Below are 24,706 nucleotides of genomic sequence, written 5' to 3' on the forward strand. Positions count from 1 at the left end.
CTGAAGGAGGTTGTCCCAACTGTAGGAAAAATTGACACATGTGCTTGAGAGGATGAGTCAGAGAGCATGTGGCCAGGCCTCCTCCCTCTTATCACATAACCCACCTTGGCTAAATATAGGTGTGTCTCAAGCTGCCTGGCGGATGCTACGCTCCACTCAGGGGTCTACCACCAGGGATCCTGGACCTGGGGCCTCCCAAAGTATTTTTCAGTCCTTTTGTAGTCCTCTTCTTTGAAAGAGGATAAATCATTTTTTGTTCTTTTACCCAAACACCTTGACTATAAATATGTGTAAATTATGTATTCATATAGATAAAGGTTAAAGAAAATACAATCAAAAAACATTTGATTCATCAGTTTGGCAAGATTTGGAGTGTTTTTTGTTTTTGTTTTTTTAAATTTGGCTTTATTTATTTTCAGCCTGGCTCAAAAAGCGTTTGAGGTAGCTGCTTACAGGAATGCATGCAATAAGATTTTTTAAGATAATAAGTTTTCGAAGTCAGCATAAGGGGAAATTGTTATAAAATAGAATAAGAAAATGAGTACATGTGTGTGAAAGAAAGAGAGAGAGAAATAACTGTAAGAATACAGGAGGGCTAGCTTAAAATTAGCTGGAGTAGCATCCTACTGCAACCTTTAAATTTTAAGAGTTTTGGAGAATATCTTCCTTTTTGGCCTATTCATTTCCCCAAAATCCACTGTTATAGATGAATTCACACATAACTGTCATATCACAACTGCTCATTGATACAGAATGAACCAAAAAATGTAAAAAAAAAAAAAAAAAAGCGCACAGATTTGGTATAATCATTTAAATTCAACTTCACCCAGTGAAGATAATAACTAGTCGGTAGTTAACATCATCTTAAAGATGAATGAGCTGATGTGCTAGGGTGAGGTTACCATTAAGAAGTAGAGGACAGGCATGGTAGCTCAAGCCTGTAATCTCAGCACTTTGGGAGGACATGGTTAGAGGATCCCTTGAGCCCAGGAGTTTGAGATCAGCCTGGGCAATATAGTGAGACCTCATCATTACAAAAAAATTTAAAAATTACCCAAGGGTGGTGGTGCATGCCTGTAGTCTCAGCCACTCAGGAAGCTGAGGTGGGAGGATCACTTGAGCCTGAGCGGTCGAGGTTGCAGTGAACCAAGATTGTGCCACTAGCCTGGGTGACAGAATAAGACCTTGTCTCAGAAAACAACAACAACAACAACAACAACAACAATAAAAAGGTAGAGGAGACAGGCAGGGATTTCCAGGACAACTTCTCTTACTCTAGTTCTAAAATCAGATTCTCTTTTCCAAACCTGCTTTTTCACTCCGTTTTCTCTGGAGTCCCAAAGGACCATTGCTAAAATGTTAAGATTCAATTTCACAACTCTTTTTTTTTTTTTTTTTTTTTTTTTTTGAGATGGAGTCTCGCTCTGTCACCCAGGCTGAGCGCAGTGGTGCGATCTCGGCTCACTGCAAACTCCGCCTCCGGGGTTCACACCATTCTCCTGCCTCAGCCTCCCGAGTAGCTGGGACTACAGGCACCCGCCACCATGCCCAGCTAATTTTTTGTATTTTTAGTAGAGACGGGGTTTCACCGTGTTAGCCAGGATGGTCTCGATCTCCTGACCTCATGATCTGCCCGCCTTGGCCTCCCAAAATGCTGGGATTGCAGGCGTGAGCCACCGCATCCGGCCCACACCTCTTTTCTAAAGCACAAGAACTCCTTTCTGTTCTCAGGGTTACTCACACTGTCCTTTTCTGTCTGCCCATGTTTCTCCCCTTTGTGGTATAGCAATAGCACCCTGCACATGACATTTTCTCCAAGCTGGGCCCTTAGCATAAGAAAAGCTAATCTCTTTGCTCTTCTCCACCCTTTACAGTTGTAACCATCCACTGAGGTTTTCATTCACTGGTCCCTTCCCACAGCCTCCCTCCATCCTCACCATTCTCTTGCACACATTCTAATTCAATGTTGCTCAGAATCCAACTGTGGCTTCCTTCCACCTGGACCATGAGGTAGCTGTGACCTCTAAATTGCAATTACTCTTAGTGTACACAGGCATCCTAGTTACTGAAACACTGTTTATTCTGTGTTCTTCATTAACTGAATCCTTGAACGTCTGTTTTTCCTTCCTAGTGAAATTATAAGCTTCTGAAGGAAACTTTGTCTTTAGCTTTATTTTGTACTCCTTTAGCACTGATCACAGTGCTGTACATTCAGAAGCAACAGGTTTACACAGTATGAATTTACAATTTGTTTCTCTGAAATGATTTTTGAAAATTGATACTACTTTAAAAATAATCAAAAGGTAGCAATTCAAATGAAACCTGCAGCAAGTCTGTTTATAAATTAATAATGACTTCTTAATTTTTCATTATGAATATATAGAAGATATTAAAATCTGATTTAAGGCAAATACATTCTGTTTAACACTATAATCTATTCATTAATTTGTGTTTATCCCTTATTTTATATTTTTGTTATTGTTTTGGTTCTTAATTTTAATGTTTTGGCTTTCAAGAGAGGAAAGCCTATTTTATTTACAAGAATGTTTTACGTCAGTATGTAAAATACAACTTCATTGTTGCCTAGAAATTTTGCCTATAAAATTTGCTTGAAATAAAATGCTTTTTTGACAGTTAAAGTTCCATATTTAATCTTTTTTTAATTAAAAGCTAATCCTTTCAGTTCTTGCTCCTAATGATTGAAGTTTGTTTCTGTCAGCAACAATCAACACACATACACACACACACACACACACACACACACACGTACACACAGGTTTTGCTAAAATGTGATCCTATGCAGGGCAGTTCTACTTGGAGAAGTCTGTCTTTTGGCCTGAAGCTATAGTTAAGATGGAACTCCAAAAATGAACTTATTTTAAGAGTGCACTTCCTGAATCTGAATTTAGAGAAAAATGACTCAAAGGAATTTTTGCTGCCAGCATTTAGTTTTTAAAGTACAATAAGAATTCTGGCGTGCTTGTCTACCACTGCTGTGTCCTCATAACGTTACTCAACTGCTTAATTTAATGCTTTGCTTTCCCTACAAAACTCTGGCAAGCCCCTCAATAAAGCAATTAAAATGGTCTTTATTCTCTTAGCCCAGAGCCAGGACTGTCAACCAATAATTTGATTCCTTCCTACACAGCTAAAGAAAGGTTTTTTTTTGGCACATTTGAAAAGCAAAAGATAGCACCATGCATTTGCCACAAACCAATCTAAATTACTGAGGGGAAAGAAAAACTTTCTGGAACCTTAATTTTGATCCTAGTAGGGTCAAAAACTATAACGAATGAGTTACTGGAGGAGGAAGAGGAGGAGGGGGAGGAGACAGAAGAGAGAAAATAAAGTGATCAGGTATCCTCCCAAACTTTGAGCTTCTAAAAGTTTATCAGGCTGAGAGAAAAAAAGAAACTTTAAAGTTAAATTAAATTTAAATTTTTAATTTTTACATGGGACACAAATCTTAATTGATGAAATGAACGTGATTTTGTGACTAATAGTGATTGGAGAACATTAATTAAAATTGATTGGAGAAGCTATGAGATCTCCTTGAGAAACCAATTGGAGGCAGGGAAAAAAAAACCTCATGAGATGAATTCAAAAGGATTTACTTCCTGCTTTCACCTCTATGGGTAAGCAATGCAGTGGTGCCTTTTGAATAGTGTGTATGTGTTCATTTGTGTGTGCACGTGCATGCATTTGTGAGCATTTGTGTTTGTGTGTTAGAGCACAGTACTCTTTTTCACTCAAAAGTCATGTAGGAGAGCAGGACATAAAAAGGAAAACTTGTTAAAAGGGTTCAGACTAGGCTGTAACATAATGAAGGTGAAATATGGCCAAAGGACAATGAACTGGGCCTTTGAATACTTTTATTTATCCCACTCTCCTTATAACAAAGGGAATAACAAAGACAACAAAGATTAGAGGAGAAGAATGGAAAGCACAATTCTGCTACTAGTTCAAATTCTGCTACTAGTTTCTTTCTAAAAAGAAAACAGCTAAACAGTGCCTAATTAATAGAAAACAGAAATGTTAAAGTGAATTCCTGACTTTTCCTCCTAAATACTGTGAAAGCCCTAGAAACACTCCTGGGAGAGAGTAGTTAGTATATGCAGGAATTTGAAAGAAGTATACTTTTTCATATACGGAACACAAGGCCCAGTTTAACCATCAGCATAATATATCAAACTTTTGCTGTAATATTGCCCTGGTACTCTTGGCCCTGAAAATAACTTCCTATTGGGCTTTTCTGGCTGATCCAATCAGAACAGAGCCTCTCAAGAGAGAAACAACTTTTTTGCTCAAGGTTCAGAAAATTCAGGGAAAATAGCAATGTTTAGAAGCTGTATTTTGCTGTTTGCTTTCGAAATGAAAGGAGCTTTTTAGAGTCTCCTGGAAAAACAGCTATATTATACCAAACTCAAGTACCTCCTCAACTGGCGTTGCTTCTAAAATGTTGATAATATGGACATGTGTGAGAAGCAGCAATATGAGGAAACAGTGTTTACAAAGGCTTCACAACTTGCCTTCTCATTTAATCCTTAAAACAATTCCTCAAGGTAGATACTATCATCATCCCAGCTTTACCTATAGAAAAACTGAGACAGAGGAAGCTGAGGTTTCAGATAATAGCAGATATTTCAGACAGTGGCAGTTCATTTCATTGCACGTGATATTTGCTCATTGCCTATCAATCAGGAGCGGTGCGCCATGCCAGGCAGTTGAGGCCTTTCATCCTTCAGGCATATTATTTCATCTGATCCTTGTGGCCATGCCAGATTAGCAAAGTGTTACCTCTCTTTATTAACAGATGAGGGGGGAAAAAAGAGCAAATGGTAAAGTAATTTGCCCAAGGCCTCACAGCTCACAAGTGCCAATGTTGGGACCCAACCTCTAGTTTTCTGACTCTTCCTCACTCAGTAATAATTCCACTGCACCAGTCTGGTTCCCTCTCCACCTCCAGCAACTCTCCCCACGTAGTGACCATCATCACCTGCAAGTCTCCTTAGCTTGCCAAGGCCCTGTGCTAAAGGGGAATCCCTCCATTGCTCAGCTTCACACACAAAGAAAATGCTTAGTTTTGTTTCAGTCAGTGATGTGTGTGTATGCATATATGTATGCATGTAGACTTATGTGTGTGTGTTTGTGTGTGTGTTTGTATCTAAGCAATCCTCACAGCAACCCTATGAGATATTAACTTTCATATGTTTTACAGTTGAGAAGAGTGAGACTGTAAAAGAATAAATGATTTATCCATTGTCCCAGCAAACTAATAGCAAATTTGGGATTCAAAAGAAAATTTCCCAATTTTTAATTCTAGTGTTCTTTCCACAGGTGACAGCTTTTCCTTCCTTTGTTTCCTTATAGTCATATGACATTGGCAGAAATTAAAACACCTCTCTTCCTTATACATGGGTAAGAGATGCATGATGGGAATTAAGTTTGCATGACATGTACCTCATCAGAGAAAAAAATTATAGGAAAGCATTTCCTATATAGCACTAAGCAAAGGTGATTCTTTAAAACTTGGCCATAACCACAGCCCTGCAGTGAACAAATCTCTCTGGGCTGCTACTGCAAAGTATGGCATCAGAGCATGGTCATTGACTTCAAGGCGTATACAGCAAAATGTGATGCCGAAACACAGGGGACTGTTGGGAAAAAGGAGATAAAAAGCTAAACCTGTCCTGGGAGAGAACAAAAATGTTTGAGCTGCAACCTGAAAGAGTAGAGAGTCAGAGAAATGGAGAAAGCAGTAAAAAGGATGATCCATTGAGAAATCGAGGGAAATCTGACATGGGTTGCAGGAGAGCAATGAGGACGTAAATGAGGCCACAGAAGTAAGTAGAGTCCAGATCACTCAGGACCTTCAGGTTCTTCCAAGGGCCAGTGGGAAACCGTTAAATGATTTAAGACCATAGAAATAACAATTTAATTTGCCTTTTCTCAGGGGACTTATGACCCAAAGGAAAGCACTTACAGGTAAATGCTAAAGTTGCATAGAAAACCACAGAATGTTAATACTAGGTGAAGATTTGAAAGTTTTCTAATCTAGTCCTTTATGTTACAGACAATGTTCCAGGAGAAAAATGACTTGCCCAAGGTCATACACAGCAGGAAAGACAGAACATCCCCACCTAGTACTATTTCTGCCACATCACACCACCTCCTCCTCTTCTCCCTGCCGTCCCAATTTCACTGTGACAGCTTCCTGCTCAAAACAGACTATTGTTGAAGTGGTGAATGTTTATGCTGGTGGCTTATATTTCTAAGCCTGAGTCCTGTCACTTTGATGACTTTACATTTACCATGGCAACCACAGCCGCAGCTGGCTAAGAACTTTGGAGTAGAAGTGATGAGTGTGACTTAAATTTTCTGAATCAGTAGCCAGGTGATTTTGACTGAATGTCATGGATAGTCTACCCTAGAAAGAACAAAACATGAAAATACAGTTTTTATATCACTGTACCTTCTTATCAGTGAGAGGGAAAGCAGCCCCAACAATTCTAAGGTCTGGGAGAAAAGAATAAAATCCCAGGCAGAGCTCTTCAGCTGTGTGCTCAATTCTCCTCCTGATGTTCCTGAGACATCAGTGCTTGGGGAGTGAAGGCCCCTGAAGGCTCACATGAAGGCAGTAGTTGAATTGCAAATAGAAGTTAAGAAAATATTCTCCTTGACCTTCTGTTCAAACCTGTGAAGGCTGAGACTTGACCCACATAGTACATCTTGACTGTCTCGGAATAAAATGAAAAATTCATAGAAATGAGAGAATGTTATCATTCCCTCAATCTTATGATTTAAAACCTTCTCTATTTGATAGGCTACATTCAAATCAGGTTAGTGGCTCAGCATTCAGCACACAGAAGCCAGGAGGGTGGGACGCATCACTTTCTGGGTCTCTCGATAAATGGTTGAGCACTTGATAGATTCAGATTAAAGGACTGCTTCAGAAAAAGGCAGTGTGCTCCCTCAAAATGTGTGTATTTGCATTATGGGTAATCGTAGGTTCTCACATGAGTTTTTCAGCATGAAGCTCACAAAATATTTTTACATCCATTATCTCATCAAATCTTCACCACTGTTCTGTGATGAAGGCATTGTAATCTTCATCCTAAAAGTGAGGAAACTAAGGTTCTAGGGGCCTAACTGACTTGCCCATGGCCATAGGGCCAATAAATGCTAGAATGAACTAAAAACTTAGTCTCTTGTCATCTTTCTCAAGTCCAGAGTCTTTCTGTCCACCACAGTAGTATGTCAGCTAAGTGCAGGATAGTGAAACTCCCCACATTAGAGGCCCCATTTGTTTTTAGAACTTGGATTGGCTGCAGTAATCTAAGCCTAGATTCCCCCCCAAGACAAAGAGATTGGATTAATTTTTTAAGTATAGCATGGGACCAGTAGACTCTAAATACCTAATTTGTATAATAAATAGGCATATAGAATATAAATGTGATTTCTTAGCCTCAAAAAAGTTACAAACCTAGAAATATCTGGCATTCAAATTAGACTTTAGCAGCAATTTCTCCTCCCATGATATAGGCAGAAATTAAGGAAAAACTGAAATAAAGGAAACTTGCTTGAATTAGGTTGGTGTAGGATAACTTGAAATGGTTTTTACAACCTATGCCAACTAGATGACATAGTGTCTGCCCAGAATATTCTCCATTCTCCTCAAGCCCCTACCCTATTACATTAGCAAGTAACCTTTCTTCCAGTATGAAAGACTAGAGTAAGAGTTTAAAATGCTGAAAGCTTTGCGGGGGTTTCCCACTGTTCCTTTGAACAAAACAAGCACACTAGTTTTGCTAGATACCCGGAAACATGTTTAATCTGTTTAGTAATGCAGGAGAACAGGTCTCTGTAAATGTCAGAGTGCCTTGACATGTCAGTCACCCCAAATCAAGGCACACCCTGAAACTTTGTATTGGAAATCTCAGGCATCTCTTTTGGGTCCCTCTTTCCCATCCTGTAATATTGCTTTTACCAGGCACTAATATGATCTGTACCATATAATCTTCCACAGAATTTCTTCATTGTAATTCTTTAAACACATCTAAGATATATATTTGTCAACAATTGGCAGAGGTACTACTTATTTGCTGGGATATTAGCATCTAGTGGAATCTCTCATGATCTGCCCATGTAGGGTACTAATAGTGAAATTAAGGCACCATGACATAATCGGGGGAATAGAGGATTAGATATTTGGTGATTAGAGGTGTCTTCCCCAAATCTCTCAAATTTCTGAGAATTTTTCTTACCTCCAATTTTAGACTGTCTAGCACTTTTTAGAACTTCCTTCTAAAAAGGACAAAAACTCTACTAATTTAAAATATAGGAAGAGTCATTTGCATGAGCCTGCTTAGTTAACTCCTCCTGATACAATTCCTTTTGTCACTGGATGTTTCTCAGACCAACCAAATTTTAACCATAAAGCAACTCTCAGGACTTCACAGCCGGGCTTGTTGGTTTATGCCGAATTTGTGTAATTGATCCTTTCTTTTCAGAACTGATTTGATTTTTTTTTCAGCACCAAATACCATTAAAAAAAATGTAACTGTGAAATGTGAATTTCTCATTAATTTATATTATAAAGTTAGAGATGAGGAAGTCATAGGCTGTAGCTGTTTTCTTCTGTACCCTCCCTTTCACTCAGGCTATTAAACTCCCCTTAGCTTTACTTCCTCTTTCCCTGACCCAGAGCCCATGCCGGAACATTCAACCACCTTACACCAGTCCCCTCAAACCTCACTACCCATTCTCTTTCTACCTCATGTGCTCTGATATCCCTTAGACTCATATTAATCCAGCAATTTGCTTTATCTCTTCTTACACGCAGGCTGGCAGGCACTGGTGGAGCAAATCATATATTGAAATTTCATAAAATTTTGGCATCTCCAGTTTCAGGAAAGTGCTCACTGCCCCTCTGAAATCCTAGCTAGCTGGCCAGCATTCTCTCCCATTGCCCATAGTATCTGTCCAAAATATTCTCCATTCTCCTCAAGCCCCTAGCCTATTACATTAACAGATAACCCTTCCTCCAGTATGAGCTATGAATATTTTCAACTTCTCATCCCATGTGCATAAATATATTTGTATACGTTACCACCTTTTTGTACTTTCTATCTCAAAGGGAAATATTTCTTCCACTATTTAAGCTTTAAGTTCCATCTCATCTCCATCCATTCATTCATGCATTCAATACATATTTATCAAATATTTATTGTGTAACTGTGCTGGAAGCTTGTGGTACTGTAGTAAGCAAGGCAGATTTGTCCTACCCTCAGAAAATTTTGGATGCAGAAGATAAGGAAATAAGATTGATAGATGAATGCTGTGACAGAAACACAATAATAGAGAATAATAAAAGAATAGTTAATTTTGAGAGGGTAGGCCAGGTGCAGTGGCTCACGCCTGTAAACCCAGCACTTTGGGAGGCTGAGGCGGGTGGATCACAAGGTCAGGAGATCGAGACCATCCTGGCTAATATGGTGAAACCCCGTCTCTACTAAAAATACACAAAAATTAGCCAGGCGTGGTGGCAGGTGCCTGTAGTCCCAGCTACTCAGGAGGCTGAAGTAGGAGAATGGCGTGAACCCGGGAGGCGGAGCCTGCAGTGAGCAGTGATCACGCCACTCCACTCCAGCCCAGACTCTGTCTCAAAAAAAAAAAAAATGTGAAAGCGTTGTCAGAGACGGCATCTCTATGAAGGGAATATTTAAGATAGGAACTAAAGGAATAGAAGCAGCCAGCTGCGAAGACATGGGAAGGGTAGCAAAAATGCTAGAAGTTAAGCAAATAACAAAAGCTGGAGTGTTCTTCAGGGAACTGAAAGAAGGCCAAGGTGGAGTGTGTGAGGGGAGAGTGGAATGACAGGCAGTTGGAAAGTTGAGCAGGGGTCCTATACACTAAAGAATTTGGATTTTTTTCCTTTTCACTTTGTCCCATAGAAATTGACTGAGGATTTTAAACAGAAGAGTGGTGTTGATCTGACAAACTGTGGAAGTAGTGTCCCTTTAGGAGACTCCAGCAATAATCCTGGAGAAAGAGAGTGGATGCTCAAGAGCTAGGGGAGGCAACTGTGGAGGTATAAAGATGTTATAGCTGAGATATCTGTTGGCAACACACAGAATAGAAGTTGATGGATTGATTGTATTTATGGTCAGGAAGAGGGTGAAGTCTAGATGAGAATCCATATTTCTGCAGCAAGGTGGGTGGCGATGCCATTATGAGGGAAATGCAGAGGAGCTGGTTGGGTTGAGTGGGGTGAAGTCAAGGTTTCTGTTTCAGACACATTATGAGTGAGATGCCTGTGAGACATGCAGAGAAGATGTTCAGAAATTGTTTGGATATAAGTTAAGTCTGCAATTCAGATGGGAAATCTGACCTGTATATAAACTATGAAGATATTATCACACTTAAAACTGTGAGCATGATGGGCTCATACAATCATATCACACATAGAAGAAAACAAAGCCCCAGACCCAGCTCTGAGAATCTTGTGTTTCTTAAGAGGAAAGGAAAGCTAAGAAGGAAACTGAAGGTGAAAAGCCAGTGAATGATGGGTGAAAACTAGGAGGGTGTAGTGTCTCATGGGACAAAAAATTAAAAAATAGAGAGTGGCCAAAGGAAACTAGACTTGTTAATTGCATCAACTGCCATTGTAAGGTGGGTTAATATAAAGAGACCTTGCTTCATTGATAATCCTATCAATTACTGATTTTTTTTTCAACTCTCAGCTCTATCTGTACCTACTCTGATGCTCATAAATATGATTCTGTCCATGTCTACTCAACAGAGGAAGGGAGAACAGGGATGACAAATTTTCCTGGTATCCCACCTATCTACCCTCCTATTTCTTTCTTTTCTAGGTTTTCTCCCAAAATTGTCCACAAAATACTATCCTTTCCCTCATTTACCTTTTACTCCTTTTTTAAATAATTTCAACATTTTAGATTCAGGAAGTACATGTACAGGTTTGTTACAGGGTATATTGCATGCTGCTGAGGTTTAGGACACAAATGATTCTGTCACCCAGGTACTGAGCATAGTACTCAACAGTTAGTTTTTCAACTGTTACCCCTCCTTCCTTACCCTCTCTAGTAGTCCCCAGTGTCTATCATTGCCATCTTTATGTCTATGAGTACCCAATGCTTAGCTCCCACCTATAAGTGAGAACACGTGATATTTGGTTTTCTGGTCCTGTGTTAATTTGCTAAGGATAATGTCCTCCAGCTGCATTCATGTTGCTGCTAAGGAAATGATTTTGTTATTTTTTATGGCTTCATAGGATTCCATGATATATATGTATCACATTTTCTTTATCCAATCCACCATTGAGGGGCACCTAGGTTGATTACATGTCTTTGCTATTGTGAATAGTGCTGAATTGTTTTGGTAGAATGACTTATTTTCATTTGGATATATACCTAGTAATTGGATTGCTTGCTCAAATGGTAGTTCTGTGTTAAGTTCTTTGAGATACCTCCAAACTGCCTTCTACAGTGGCTAAACTAATTGGTAGGAACTACATTCCTACCGACAGTATGGAAGTGTATAAGCATTCTCTTTTCTCCACAGCCTTGACAGCATCTGTTGTTTTTTTACTTTTTAATAACTGCCATTCTAACTGGTATGAGATGGTGTCTCATTGTTCATTTACCTTTTACTTTGCAGTTCATTGTGCTCTAGCCCCACCAATTCTCTCGTTGGGAAACTTTAGTCTCATCACTCTGGTCTTTAATGGTCATCACAAGAGATTCTGAGAATTAGAATCTTATTTTGGAGATGTTCCCTTTTTTGCCTTATGAAAAACATTTCAGAGTCTAAAGTTTGTCCAGTTCCAAAATTGTCCTCTAATTGTTGGAATTGTTGGTAATTATGCAACCAAATAGACCAATTTTTTAGTACTTCTTGGAAATCCCTCAATTTATATTCTTTCTTCTTTTTTTCTAATTATCTTTATTTTCTAAAATAGAGTTTCAATATGATAGTTCATAATTTGGTATCACCAATTAACACTTTCGTGGACTTCAATGTGCAAATTCCTCAAACTTAAAAGAAGCTTCAAATTTAGGGAAAAAAAAACAGCATGACTAACAATTCTGTAAATTCAAAATAAACCTACATTTTGTTGAGGGATAGGGAAGCCATTTTAAATTTTTTATTTGAAAACAGCATATTTCTTGCTTTTTTTTTTTTTTTTTTTTTTTTTTTTTGAGACAGATTTTTGCTCTTGTTGCCCAGGCTGGAGTGCAATGGCACAATCTCAGCTCACCGCAACCTCCGCCTCTGGGGTTCAAGCAATTCTCCTACCTCAGCCTTCCAGGTAGCTGGGATTACAAGTACCCGCCACCATGCCAGGGTAATTTTTTGTATTTTTTTTATTATACTTTAATAAATGTTAATAATATACTTTAAACCTGCCCAATGTGCAGGTTTGATACATAGGTATACATGTGCCATGTTGGTTTGCTGCACCCATCAACTCGTCATTTACATTAGGTATTTCTCCTAATGCTATCCCTCCTCCAGCCCCCCACCCCCTAAAAGGCCCCAGTGTGTGATGTTCCCCACCTTGTGTCCAAGTGTTCTCATTGTTCAATTCCCACCTATGAGTGAAAACATGTGGTGTTTGGTTTTCTGTCCTTGTGATAGTTTGCTGAGAATGATGGTTTTCAGCTTCATCCATGTACCTACAAAGGACATGAACTCATCATTTAGGGCTGCATAGTATTCCATGGTGTATATGTGCCATGTTTTCTTAATCCATTCTATCATTGATGGACATTTAGGTTGGTTCCAAGTCTTTACAATCATTAATAGTGCCGCAATAAACAAACGTGTACATGTGTCTTTATAGTAGCAGGATTTATAATCCTTTGGGTATATACCCAGTAATGGGATCACTGGTATTTCTATGGGAATGGTATTTCTAGTTCTAGATCCCTGAGGAATCGCCAGACTGTCTTCCACAATGGTTGAACTAGTTTACAGTCCCACCAACAGTGTAAAAGCCTTCCTATTTCTCCACATCCTCTCCAGCATCTGTTGTTTCCTGACTTTTTAATGATCACCATTCTAACTGGTGTGAGATGGTATCTCTTGTGGTTTTGATTTGCATTTCTCTGATGACCAGTGATGATGAGTATTTCTTCATGTGTCTGTTGGCTGCATAAATGTCTTCTTTTGAGAAGCGTCTGTTGATATTCTTTGCCCACTTTTTGATGGGGTTGTTTGTTTTTTTTCTTGTACATTTGTTTGAGTTCTTTGTAGATTCTGGATATTAGCCCTTTGTCAGATGGGTAGATTGCAAAAATTTTCTCCCATTCTGTAGGCTGCCTGTTCACTCTGATGGTAGTTTCTTTTGCCATGCAGAAGCTCTTTAGTTTAATTAGATCCCATTTGTCTGTTTTGGCTTTTGTTGCCATTGCTTTTGGTGTTTTAGTCATTAAGTCCTTGCCCATGCCTATGTCCTGAATGGTATTGCCTAGATTTACTTCTAGGGTTTTTACGGTTTTAGGTCTAACGTTTAAGTCTTTAATCCATCTTGAATTAATTTTTGTATAAAGTGTAAGGAAGGGATCCAGTTTCAGCTTTCTACATATGGCTAGCCAGTTTTCCCAGCACCATTTATTAAATAGGGTCCTTTCTCCATTTCTTGTTTTTGTCAGGTTTGTCGAAGATCAGATGGTTGTAGATGTGTGGTGTTATTTCTGAGGCCTCTGTTCTGTTCCATTCGTCCATATATCTGTTTTGGTACCAGTACCATGCTGTTTTGGTTACTGCGGCCTTGTAGTATAGTTTGAAGTCAGGTAGCGTGATGCCGCCAGCTTTGTTCTTTTCGCTTGGGATTGTCTTGGCAATGCAGGCTCTTTTTTTGGTTCCATATGAACTTTAAAGGAGTTTTTTCCAATTCTGTGAAGAAAGTCATTGGTAGCTTGATAGGGATGGCACTGAATCTATAAATTACTATGGGCAGTATGGCCATTTTCACTATATTGATTCTTCCTATCCATGAGCATGGAATATTCTTCGATTTGTTTGTGTCCTATTTCATTGAGCAGTGGTTTGTATTTCTCCTTGAAGAGGTCCTCCACATCCCTTGTAAGTTGGATTCCTAGGTATTTTATTCTCATTGTGGCAATTGTGAATCGGAGTTCACTAATGATTTGGCTTTCTGTTTGTCTGCTATTCGTGTATAGGAATGCTTGTGATTTCTGCACATTGATTTTGTATCCTGAGACTTTGCTGAATTTGCTGGTCAGCTTAAGGAGATTTTGGGCTGAAACAATGGAGTTTTTTAAATATACAATCATGTCATCTGCAAACAGGGACAATTTGACTTCTTCTTTTCCTAATTGAATACCCTTTATTTCTTTCTCTTGCCAGATTGCCCTGGCCATTTCAACACTATGTTGAATAGGAGTGGTGAGAGGGGCAACTTGTCTTGTGCCAGTTTTCAAAGGGAATGATTCCAGTTTTTGCCCATTCAGTATGATATTAAGCTGTGGGTTTGTCATAAATAGCTCTTATTATTTTGAGATATGTTCCATCAAAGCCTAGTTTATTGAGAGTTTTTAGCATGAAGGGCTGTTGAATTTTGTCAAAGGCCTTTTCTGCATCTATTCAGATAATCATGTGGTTTTTGTCATTGGTTCTGTTTATGTGACGGATTACATTTATTGATTTGTGTATGTTGAACTAGCCTTTCATCCCAGGGATGAAACCAACTTGATCATGGTGGATAAGCTTTTTGATGTGCCTCTGGATTCAATTTGCCAGTATTTTATTGAGGATTTTCACATTGATGTTCATCAGGGATATTGGTCTAAAATTCTCTTTTTTTGTTGTTGTGTTTCTGCCAGGTTTTGGTATCAGGATGATGCTGGCCTCATAAAATGAGTTAGGGAGGATTCCTGCTTTTTGTATTGATTGGAATAGTTTCAGAAGGAATGGTACCAGCTTCTCTTTGTACCTCTGGTAGAATTCGGCTGTGAATCCATCTGGTCCTGGACTTTTTTTGACTGGTAGGTTATTAATTATTGCCTCAATTTCAGAGCCTGTTATTGGTCTATTCAGGGATTTAACTTCTTCCTGGTTTAGTCTTGGGAGGGTATATGTGTCCAGGAATTTATCCATTTCTTCTAGATTTTCTAGTTTATTTGCATAGAGGTGTTTATAGTATTCTCTGATGGTAGTTTGTATTTCTGTGGGATCAGTGATGATATCCCCTTTATCATTTTTTATTGCATCTATTTGATTCTTCTCTCTTTTCTTATTAGTCTTGTTAGCGGTCTATCAATTTTGTTGATCTTTTCAAAAAACTAGCTCCTGGATTCACTGATTTTTTGAAGGGTTTTTTGTGTCTCTATCTCCTTCAGTTCTGCTCTGATCTTAGTTATTTCTTGCCTTCTGCTAGCTTTTGAATGTGTAAGCTCTTGCTTGTCTAGTTCTTTTAATTTGTGATGTTAGGGTGTCAATTTTAGATCTTTCCTGCTTTCTTTTGTGGGCATTTAGTGCTATAAATTTCCCTCTACACACTGCTTTAAATGTGTCCCAGAGATTCTGGTATGTTGTGTCTTTGTTCTCGTTGGTTTCAAAGAACATCTTTATTTCTGCCTTCATTTCGTTATTTACTCAGTGGTCATTCAGGAGCAGGTTGTTCAGTCTCCATGTAGTTGTGCAGTTTTGAGTAAATTTCTTAATCCTGAGTTCTAATTTGATTGCACTGTGTTCTGAGAGACAGTTTGTTGTGATTTCTGTTATTTTACATTTGCTGAGGAATGCTTTACTTCCAATTATGTGATCAATTTTAGAATAAGTGCGATGTGGTGCTAAGAAGAATATATATTGTTGATTTGGGGTGGAGAGTTCTGTAGATGTCTATTAGGTCTGCTTGGTGCAGAGCTGAGTTCAAGTCCTGGATATCCCTGTTAACCTTCTGTCTCATTGATCTGTCTAATATTGACAGTGGGGCATTAAAGTCTCCCATTATTATTGTGTGGGAGTCTAAGTCTCTTTGTAGATCTCTAAGGATTTGCTTTATGAATCTGGGTGCTCCTGTATTGGGTGCATATATATTTAGGATAGTTAGCTCTTCTTGTTCAACTGATCCCTTTACCATTATGTAATGGCCTTCTTTGTCTCTTTTGATCTTTGTTGGTTTGAAGTCTGTTTTATCAGAGACTAAGATTGCAACCCCTGTTCTTTTTTTGCTTTCCATTTGCCTGGTAGATCCTCCTCCATCCCTTTATTTTGAGCCTATGTGTGTCTCTGCACATGAGATGGGTCTCCTGAATACAGCACACTGATGCGTCTTGACTGTTTATCCAATTTGCCAGACTGTGTCTTTTAATTAGGGCATTTAGCCCATTTACATTTAAGATTGATATTGTTATGTTTGAATTTGATCCTTTCATTATGATGTTAGCTGGTTAGTTTGCCCATTAATTGATGCAGTTTCTTCATAGCATCGATGGTCTTTACAATTTGGTCTGTTTTTGCAGTGGCTGGTACCAGTTGTTTCTTTCCATGTTTAGTGCTTCCTTCAGGAGCTCTTGTAAGGCAGGCCTGGTGGTGACAAAATCTCTCAGCATTTGCTTGTCTATAAAGGATTTTATTTTTCCTTCACTCATGAAGCTTAGTTTGGCTGGATATGAAATTCTGGGTTGAAAGTTCTTTTCTTTAAGAATGTTGAATTTTGGCCCTCACTCTCGTCTGGCTTGTAGAGTTTCTGCCGAGAGATCCACCATTAGTCTGATCGGCTTCCCTTTGTGGGTAAGCCAACCTTTCTATCTGGCTGTCCTTAACATTTTTCCCTTCATTTCAACTTTGGTGAATCTGAAAATTATGTGTCTTGGAGTTGCTCTTCTCATGGAGTATCTTTGTGGTGTTCTCTGTATTTCCTGAATTTGAATGTTGGCTAGGTTGGGGACATTCTCCTGGATAATATCCTGAAGTGTGTTTTCCAACTTGGTTCCATTCTCCCCATCACTTTCAGGTACACTAATCAAACATAGATTTGGTCTTTTCACATAGTCCCATATTTCTTGGAGGCTTTGTTCATTTCTTTTTCCTCTTTTTCCTCTAAACTTGTCTTCTCACCCCATTTCATTAATTTGATCTTCAATCACTGATACCCTTTCTTCCACTTGATTAAATCGGCTATTGAAGCTTGTGCATGCATCACGAAGTTCTCTTGCCATGGTTTTCAGCTCCATCAGGCCATTTCAGGTCTTCTCTACACTGTTTATTCTAGTTAGCCATTCGTCTAGTGTTTTTTCAAGGTTTTTAGCTTCCTTTTGATGGGTTTAAACATGCTCCTTTAGCTCAGAGAAGTTTGTTATTACCGACCTTCTGAAGCCTACTTCTATCAATTTGTCAAAGTCATTCTCCATCCAGCTTTGTTCCATCGCTGGCTAGGAGCTGCAATCCTTTGGAGGAGAAGAGGTGCTCTGGTTTTTAGGATTTTCAGCTTTTCTGCCCTGGTTTCTCCCCATCTTTGTGGTTTTATCTACCTTTGGTCTTTGATGCTGGTGACCTACAGATGGGGTTTTGATGTAGATGTCCTTTTTGTTGATGTTGATGCTATTCCTTTCTGTTTGTTAGTTTTCCTTCTAACAGTCAGGACCCTCAGCTGCAGATCTGTTGGAGTTTGCTGGAGGTCCACTCCAGACCCTGTTTACCTGGGTATCACCAGTGGAGGCTGCAGAACAGCAAATATTGCTGCCTGATCCTTCCTCTGCCTGAAGCTTCGTCCCAGAGGGGCACCCGCCTATATGAGGTGTCTGTCAGCCCCTACTGGGAGGTGTCTCCCAGTTAGGCTACACAGGGGTCAGGGACCCACTTGAGGAGGCAGTCTGTCCATTCTCAGAGCTCAAACGCCGTGCTGGGAGAACCACTGCTCTTTTCAGAGCGGTCAGACAGGGACATTTAAATCTGCAGAAGTTGTCTGCTGCCTTTTGTTCAGCTATGCCCTACTCACAGAGGTGGAGTCTACAGAGGCAGTAGGCCTTGCTGAGCTGCGGTGGGCTCCACCCAGTTTGAGCTGCTTTGTTTACCTACTCAAGCCTCAGCAATGGTGGACGTCCCTCCCCGAGCCAGGCTGCCGCCTCCCAGTTTGATCTCAGACTGCTGTGCTAGCAGTGAGCAAGGTTCCATGGGTGTGGGACCTGCCAAGCCAGGCACAGGAAAGAATCTCTGGGTCTGCCAGTTGCTGAGACTGTGGGAAAAGCACAGTATTTGGGCAGAAGTGTCCCATTTTTTCAGGTGCAATCTGTCACAGCTTCCCTTGGCTAAGAAAGGGAAATCCCCAGACCTTTTGCGCTTCCTGGGTGAGGTGATGCCCCAACCTGCTTTGGCTCACCCTCTGTGGGCTGCACCCACTGTCCAACCACTCTCAATGAGATGAACCAGGTACCTCAGTTGGAAATGCAGAAATAACCCGTCTTCTGTGTCAATCACGCTGGGAGCTGCAGATCGGAGCTGTTCCTATTTGGCCATCTTGGAACAGACCTCAATTTTTTGTATTTTTTAGTAGAGATGGGGTTTCTCCATGTTCGTCAGGCTGGTCTCGAACTCCTGACCTCAGATGATCCACCCACCTTGGCCTCCCAAAGCACTGGCATTACAGGCATGAGCTACCTCACCCAGCCTATTTCTTGCCTTAACTCATTAAGCCCTTGTGTCAGGCTAAAAGACATGGTTCTCCAAAAATATATTTACTTCCTAATTCTCAGAACCTGTGATTATTACCTCACCTGGAAAAACAGTGAATATTACCTTCTGAAGCAAGAGATGTGATGAAGGATCTTGAGAGGAGACATTTACCCTGAATTACCCAGATAAGCCCCAAATGCCCTAAATCACATGTATCCTTATAAAAGAGAGCCAGGCAGAGGTTTCACCCAGAGAGACACAGAGGAGAAAGTGATGTGAAGACAGAGAGAGAGATTTGAGTGATTCAACAAGTCAAAGACTGCCAGCAGAAGCTGAAAGAGGCAAGGAACAGAATGTCCCCTACAACATATGGAGGGACTGAGGTCCTACTGACATCTTGGTTTTAGAATTCTGGACCCCAGAAATGTGACAGAATATGTTACCAAGTTTGTGGTAATTTGTCATGGCAGTCAGAAGAAACTAATATAAATTTTGGTATCAAGGAGTGAGGTGCTGCTATAACAAGTACCCAAAAATACAGAAGTATCATCCAAGGAATAGCCAAGTGATATGGTTTGGATGTTTGTCCCCTTCAAATCTCATGTTGAAATGTGACCTCCAATGTTGGAGGTGAGACTTGGTGGGAGGTACTGGATCACGGAGGCAGATCTATAATGGATGACTTAGTGCCATCCCCTTGGTGATATGTGTGTTCTCCCTCAGTTCATATAAGATTTGGTTGGTTAAAAGTGTCAGAGACCTCACCTTACTGTCTCTTGCTTGCTCTGTCATGTAACATGCCTGCTCCCACTTCGTCTTCTGCCATGGGTAAAAGCTCCCTGAGGCCTCACCAAGAGCTGAGCAGATGGCAGAGCCATGCTTCCTGTACAGCCTGCAGAACCGTGAGCCAATTAAACCTCTTTTCTTTACAAATTAGCTAGTCTCAGGTATTTCTTTCTTTCTTTCTTTCTTTTAGATGAAGTCTCACTCTGTCACCCAGGCTGGAGTACAGCAGTGCGATCTCAGCTCACTGCACACTACAACCTCCACCTCCAGGGTTCAAGCGATTCTCCCTGCCTCAGCCTCCCAAGTAGCTGGGATTACAGGCACCCGCAACGATGCCCAGCTAATTTTTGTATTTTCAGTACAGACTGGATTTCACCATGTTGGCCAGGCTGGTCTTGAACTCCTGACCTCAAGTGATCCACCCACCCCGGCCTCCCAGAGTGCTGGGATTACAGGTGCCCAGCCAGGTGGATTTCTTTGTAGCAACACAAAAATGGCCTAATACACCAAGGAATTCGCTAATAGGTAGAGGCCGGAAGAATTCTGTGAAGCATCATAGAAAAAGCCTAGAATGCCCTGAAGTCACTGTTGGTAGCAATATGAATATCAAGGATGCTGTTGGTGAGGGCTCAGAAGGAAGTGAGCGGCACAGTAGAGAAAGCTCCTATCAAATTGCGCCATGGCATTCCCGCCTGGGTGACAGAGCAAGACTCTATTTCAGAAAAAAAGAAAGAAAGAAAGAAAGCTTCTATCAATCATCTTTGAAAATATGTATGCTATCTTGAGCAGAATGTTGGCAAAAATATGAGCATTGTAAGTACTTCTGGTGCAGGCTTAGAAGGAAATATAGAGCACATGATTGAGAAATGGAAGAAAATGATCCGTGTTACATAGTGGCAGTGAGCTTGGCTTAACTGTGTCCTATAGTCATGTGAAAATTAGCAGAACTTGCCAATGATGAAATCGGATATTTAGCTGAGGAGAGTACCAAGCAAAATGTTGAAGGTGCATACTGATATCTTCTTTCTGTTCAGAGTACAAATGTGAGAGAAAATAGATACATTCAGGAAGGAACTGTTAAGCAGAATTTTCAGTAATTTGTTATGGTGGCCAAAGTAAACTGATAAAGCTCTTAAGTGAAGAGAGGAATATCTTCTCATATTATTCAGAAGTGCTAATGCATGGATCCTTAGTGTAGACTAATATTAGTTTAGACAGTCTGATATTTTAAGTTAGCATTAGATACCTGATCACTACATGAAGATAGTGAATCAAAATGTGTTATTTTAATTCTCTGTCACTTGAACATTTAGGACATGCTCCTATCAGCTGTCAATTTATTTTTTTTAATATTAGCCTCAAATAATAAGAATAAATTAACTTTATCTTGAGCTCAAGTTCTTAAACTCACCAATCAATGATTTGTGAGTCATTCTTTTGTTTGTTGGTGGGTTGGTTTCTTTGTGTTTTCTTTTATTTGTTTGTATTTTAAGACATGGATTCTTGGGCCCTCAGCAAACCTTGTAAATTGATTTTCTGGGGCTGAGGATTGGATATTTATGTTTTTCTAAGGCTTTGTCAATTATTATGATAAACAACCATCTAGGAAACCATTGAAATTATGAAGCACAGCTGGATTTGTCTACCATTTCTTAAGTACCCCCTATGTGTCAGATATATATTAGATGAGTTTTACATAATGTTTATATGTAATCTTATAGGTACATGTTTAATTTCAGCTTTGTAGTTGGCAAATTGAGGTTCAAAGAAGTAGTAAAGCTGTTCCAAATCAGTAATTAGAAAAACTGATATTTGAGCACATATCTATTTCCAAAGCCCATTCTACAAAAAAAACCAGCAGTAAAGTAAAAACATTATTTGTTCATATTTCCTTATATATCCTATCTAGGTGGATGATGTGGGTAAGTCATTTAACTTCCCAAGATTTGAAGAAGTGTATAATAATATGTATCTCAAGCAGTTGTTATGAAGACTGAATTCAATTATGTACAGAATAGCACTTTGGCAACACTAGAGTGTCATGCAAATGTGATTTGCTTTACTATCGTTTTTGCTCTTACCTATTTCTTATTTATGGAATAAGTAAAGTATAACCATGTTATTTGGCAGAAGTGCCAGCTCTCACAAAATGTCGCATCTACTGCCAGCTGCTTCTATTCTTGTGGATCTAAGGCTTCCTCAATGGTTACTTTTGGAGCCAGACTGGATCAGTGTTCGAGTCCCAGCTCTGCCATTTACTAACTGCAGAATCATGGACTAGTCTTTCCATGATTTTGATTATTCACCAATAAAAAGGGAAAGAGATGCTGGTAATTTGAGGTCGACATTGAAATAATATAGAATGCTTATAATATTTATGATCATCATTAATTATCACATTACTGACAGTAGCTGTGTTAGTAAGATGGCAAATACATTTTGTGAGGTTCCACTGGGCACTGCTTATGAAGAGTGGCACAGGCAGGGGGTGAAAGAATGCCAGCAGTGAGGCAGTGTATTCTGCAGGGCATGGGAAAAAACCCAGGCCAGTTGCAACCCACCTGAATACTAACTCCCACTGTAGCCTGGATTGCATTCCTATGCCAGCAAAATGGTTTTTCAACTGTGGCTATTCTGTAGCAGAGTATCAGCAAGGAAGCCCCGGATACGGAAGCTAAAAAGAGTTTAATTATTTGGCACATATATATTATGCCATAAGTACATACACAAGCAGAATGGGAGAAAAGAATAAATCCCATGGCAGTTGGCAGACAGCCAGTTGGAAAGGCAATCATAAACCACTTGGGAACATTAAATAAGTCAGAATGCTATCTTCTAGCATATAATCTAGTAATGATAGCAATAACTACCATTTCATAAATTCCTGTGCCAGGAACCCTGCTAGGCTTTGTATGTACATTATCACTAGGCTACAAAACTCTATTGAATAAGAACCATTTATTACCTCATTCTGCAGATGAGGAAACTGAGGCACAGAGAAGTTAAAGAAGGCATTAATGGTTAAAGACCTGAGAAATATTGGCCATGAGATTTGAAATAGAGTCTAACTACCTGTAAACCCTGTCCTTTCCACTGCAGTGTGATGTCTGCATGGGACATTCTCATGTCTTGCATTTCTAGTCCTTTTATAACAACCACGGTTACGGGTAATTCTTCTGCTTTTTTATTTTGCATGTACCCCTCCCCAAAAAAAGGCACATGATAAATAATAAAATCATCATTGGTATATATAAATAGATGATAGATAGACCAGACAGATCGATGACAGATTAAGTGTGTGTGTATATGCACACCATCGCACTCTGTGACTTTTAAAACTATCTTGTGGATCTCCTTAGCACATCTCTTGTGCTCTGCTTATATTCTGGCCCAGATGTGCAGAGCAGCTAGTTCACAATAACCTCCCAACCACCAGTGTCATCATGTGCTTTGTGGATGAAGTGTGGTCCACTCTCCTGAGATCTGTTCACAGTGTCATCAATCGCTCTCCTCCACACCTCATCAAGGAGATTCTGCTGGTAGATGACTTCAGCACCAAAGGTAAGAAAACCACTCAGGCTATCTCTTGAAATTTCAAAGTTTGGCAGAAGCAAAGTTTAGTAGCAGTTTGGATGGCAAAATTATAGGATAATTTGATGAAGCATAAACATCGTACAAATGCTTTGTTTTACGTGGAGCCTCAGAGACATAAGTCTAAGCATCTATGGACGTTAAAAGTCATCTGGAGCTCTGTTCAGTTAGTTGTCTCAGTTGTAACTCTGCTACCATGTTGGAATGATCTAACTATGGCTCCTTGGAGATGGGCACTTAGAAGTAGTGGAGTTTAGATGTCCTCTACAATTGCACAAATCCCTTTTAATGGAATCACAATTAACGGGAGGCCTTGCCTACTGGTAATAACTAGAGTTACAGTTAGACTCTATGGAAGGCAAAGAAATTAAGATCTTATGGCTTCTTCCTTGAGAGCAAGGCATATGATGTGTTCAGTTAAGTGTTAAGAAGACAAATTGCCAATAGGACAAGAGAGATGAGGTGATTCCAACAAAGTTCAAAACCAGAATCCACCATAGCCTTTATGTTCATTTTTGCTTATTACAGTGAAGAATCTCACTCTTTGGGTTGTCAAATAACCTGTGTATGTAGGTGGTCTGACAGCCACATTACAAATTCCCAAATGGAACCCATTTTTCAGAAAAGTTTAGAAAATAGCAAAGACTTGGCAATGCTAATGGAACAGCTTACCCTTGAGCTGTGACCACAGCAACATGGGAAGTTTCTTTAGCTTCAGAGTTTCTGCCATAATCACACTGAGCTCAAGAAGCTGTGGGATGATAGAGAAAAACTGGCTGAAAAACATAAAATGTGGCCTTGGAAGCATAAACAGGAATAGTACCCAATTAGTAAGTAGATAGGAGTCCCTTTATGAGGGGCAGGTCCAGATTCTGTGGGACCTGAAGCTTATTCAGTTTTCAGGGTCCTGTCTAAGAAAAACTTTCTTAGAAAGTTTTCTGGAAGCCATTCCAACCTAGGATAGCTGTCAATAGCTTGATTACACACAGAAATGACTGTAAGTCACATAAACATAGCTCATAAAGCCCCCGGAAAACTGTTCCTTTAGCTGGATCCCTCCATGGCCATCTAATAAGAGAGAAAAGGTGTAATGGAAGGGGATGTCAGAGTAGAGAATGAAAGGGTCTTATTTGCACACATTGTTTAGCCTCTTCCTTGGGTCATGGAAGGGGCTTTTGCAAGAGGTGGGGCTGAGAGTAGAGGCAGAATTGTGCAGAAGCCTGAGCTACATATATTTTAAGGCAAATCTGCCCCCACCTTGACAAATACTCAGAAAGGTGTGCCCTCCACTACATCACCTTACAACACTGAAAACAAACATTTGGGGTTTGAAAAATCAGACAGCTTTGAATACTGAAACCAGATAGAATCCTTCCAAGAAAATGACATCAGAAAATAAAATTATGACCCAAGGAATAAAATTCAGTGATGATGGTAATGTCATAGTTTTTGGCATTTGACTTTGGGGAGCACTTCTGATACTATCCGGACTTACTTAATTCAAGTATTTCCTGGTTTATCTTTACTCTGATGTAGACTATCTAAAAGATAATTTGGATAAATACATGTCCCAGTTTCCAAAAGTTCGGATTCTTCGCCTCAAAGAGAGACATGGCTTAATAAGGGCCAGGCTGGCAGGAGCACAGAATGCAACAGGTAAGAAGTT

At 39.7% G+C, this 24,706-nt stretch overlaps 1 protein-coding gene across 6 annotated transcripts in view; it reads left to right on the forward strand.

Annotated features, from left to right (window-relative positions):
• The window catches only part of GALNT5 (polypeptide N-acetylgalactosaminyltransferase 5), a 60,787-nt gene that overhangs the window by 3,734 nt on the left and 32,347 nt on the right, over positions 1-24,706 (forward strand). For 4 of the 6 annotated variants that reach the window (XR_007068940.1, NM_014568.3, XM_017003237.3 and 1 more), the window contains exons 2-3: positions 22,844-23,010; positions 24,577-24,696. Coding sequence is in view for 5 of the 6 variants with exons in the window: in NM_014568.3 (NP_055383.1) it covers positions 22,844-23,010; positions 24,577-24,696 (287 nt within the window). In the remaining variant the exon portion in view is untranslated. Of the gene's footprint in view, positions 1-5,337; positions 5,419-22,808; positions 23,011-24,576; positions 24,697-24,706 lie in introns of those variants that run through there. The other 2 variants (NM_001329868.2, XM_017003238.3) reach the window with 2 other exon arrangements.

This window comes from Homo sapiens, chromosome 2 (assembly GCF_000001405.40).
Source record: "Homo sapiens chromosome 2, GRCh38.p14 Primary Assembly".
Classification (NCBI taxonomy): domain Eukaryota; kingdom Metazoa; phylum Chordata; class Mammalia; order Primates; family Hominidae; genus Homo; species Homo sapiens.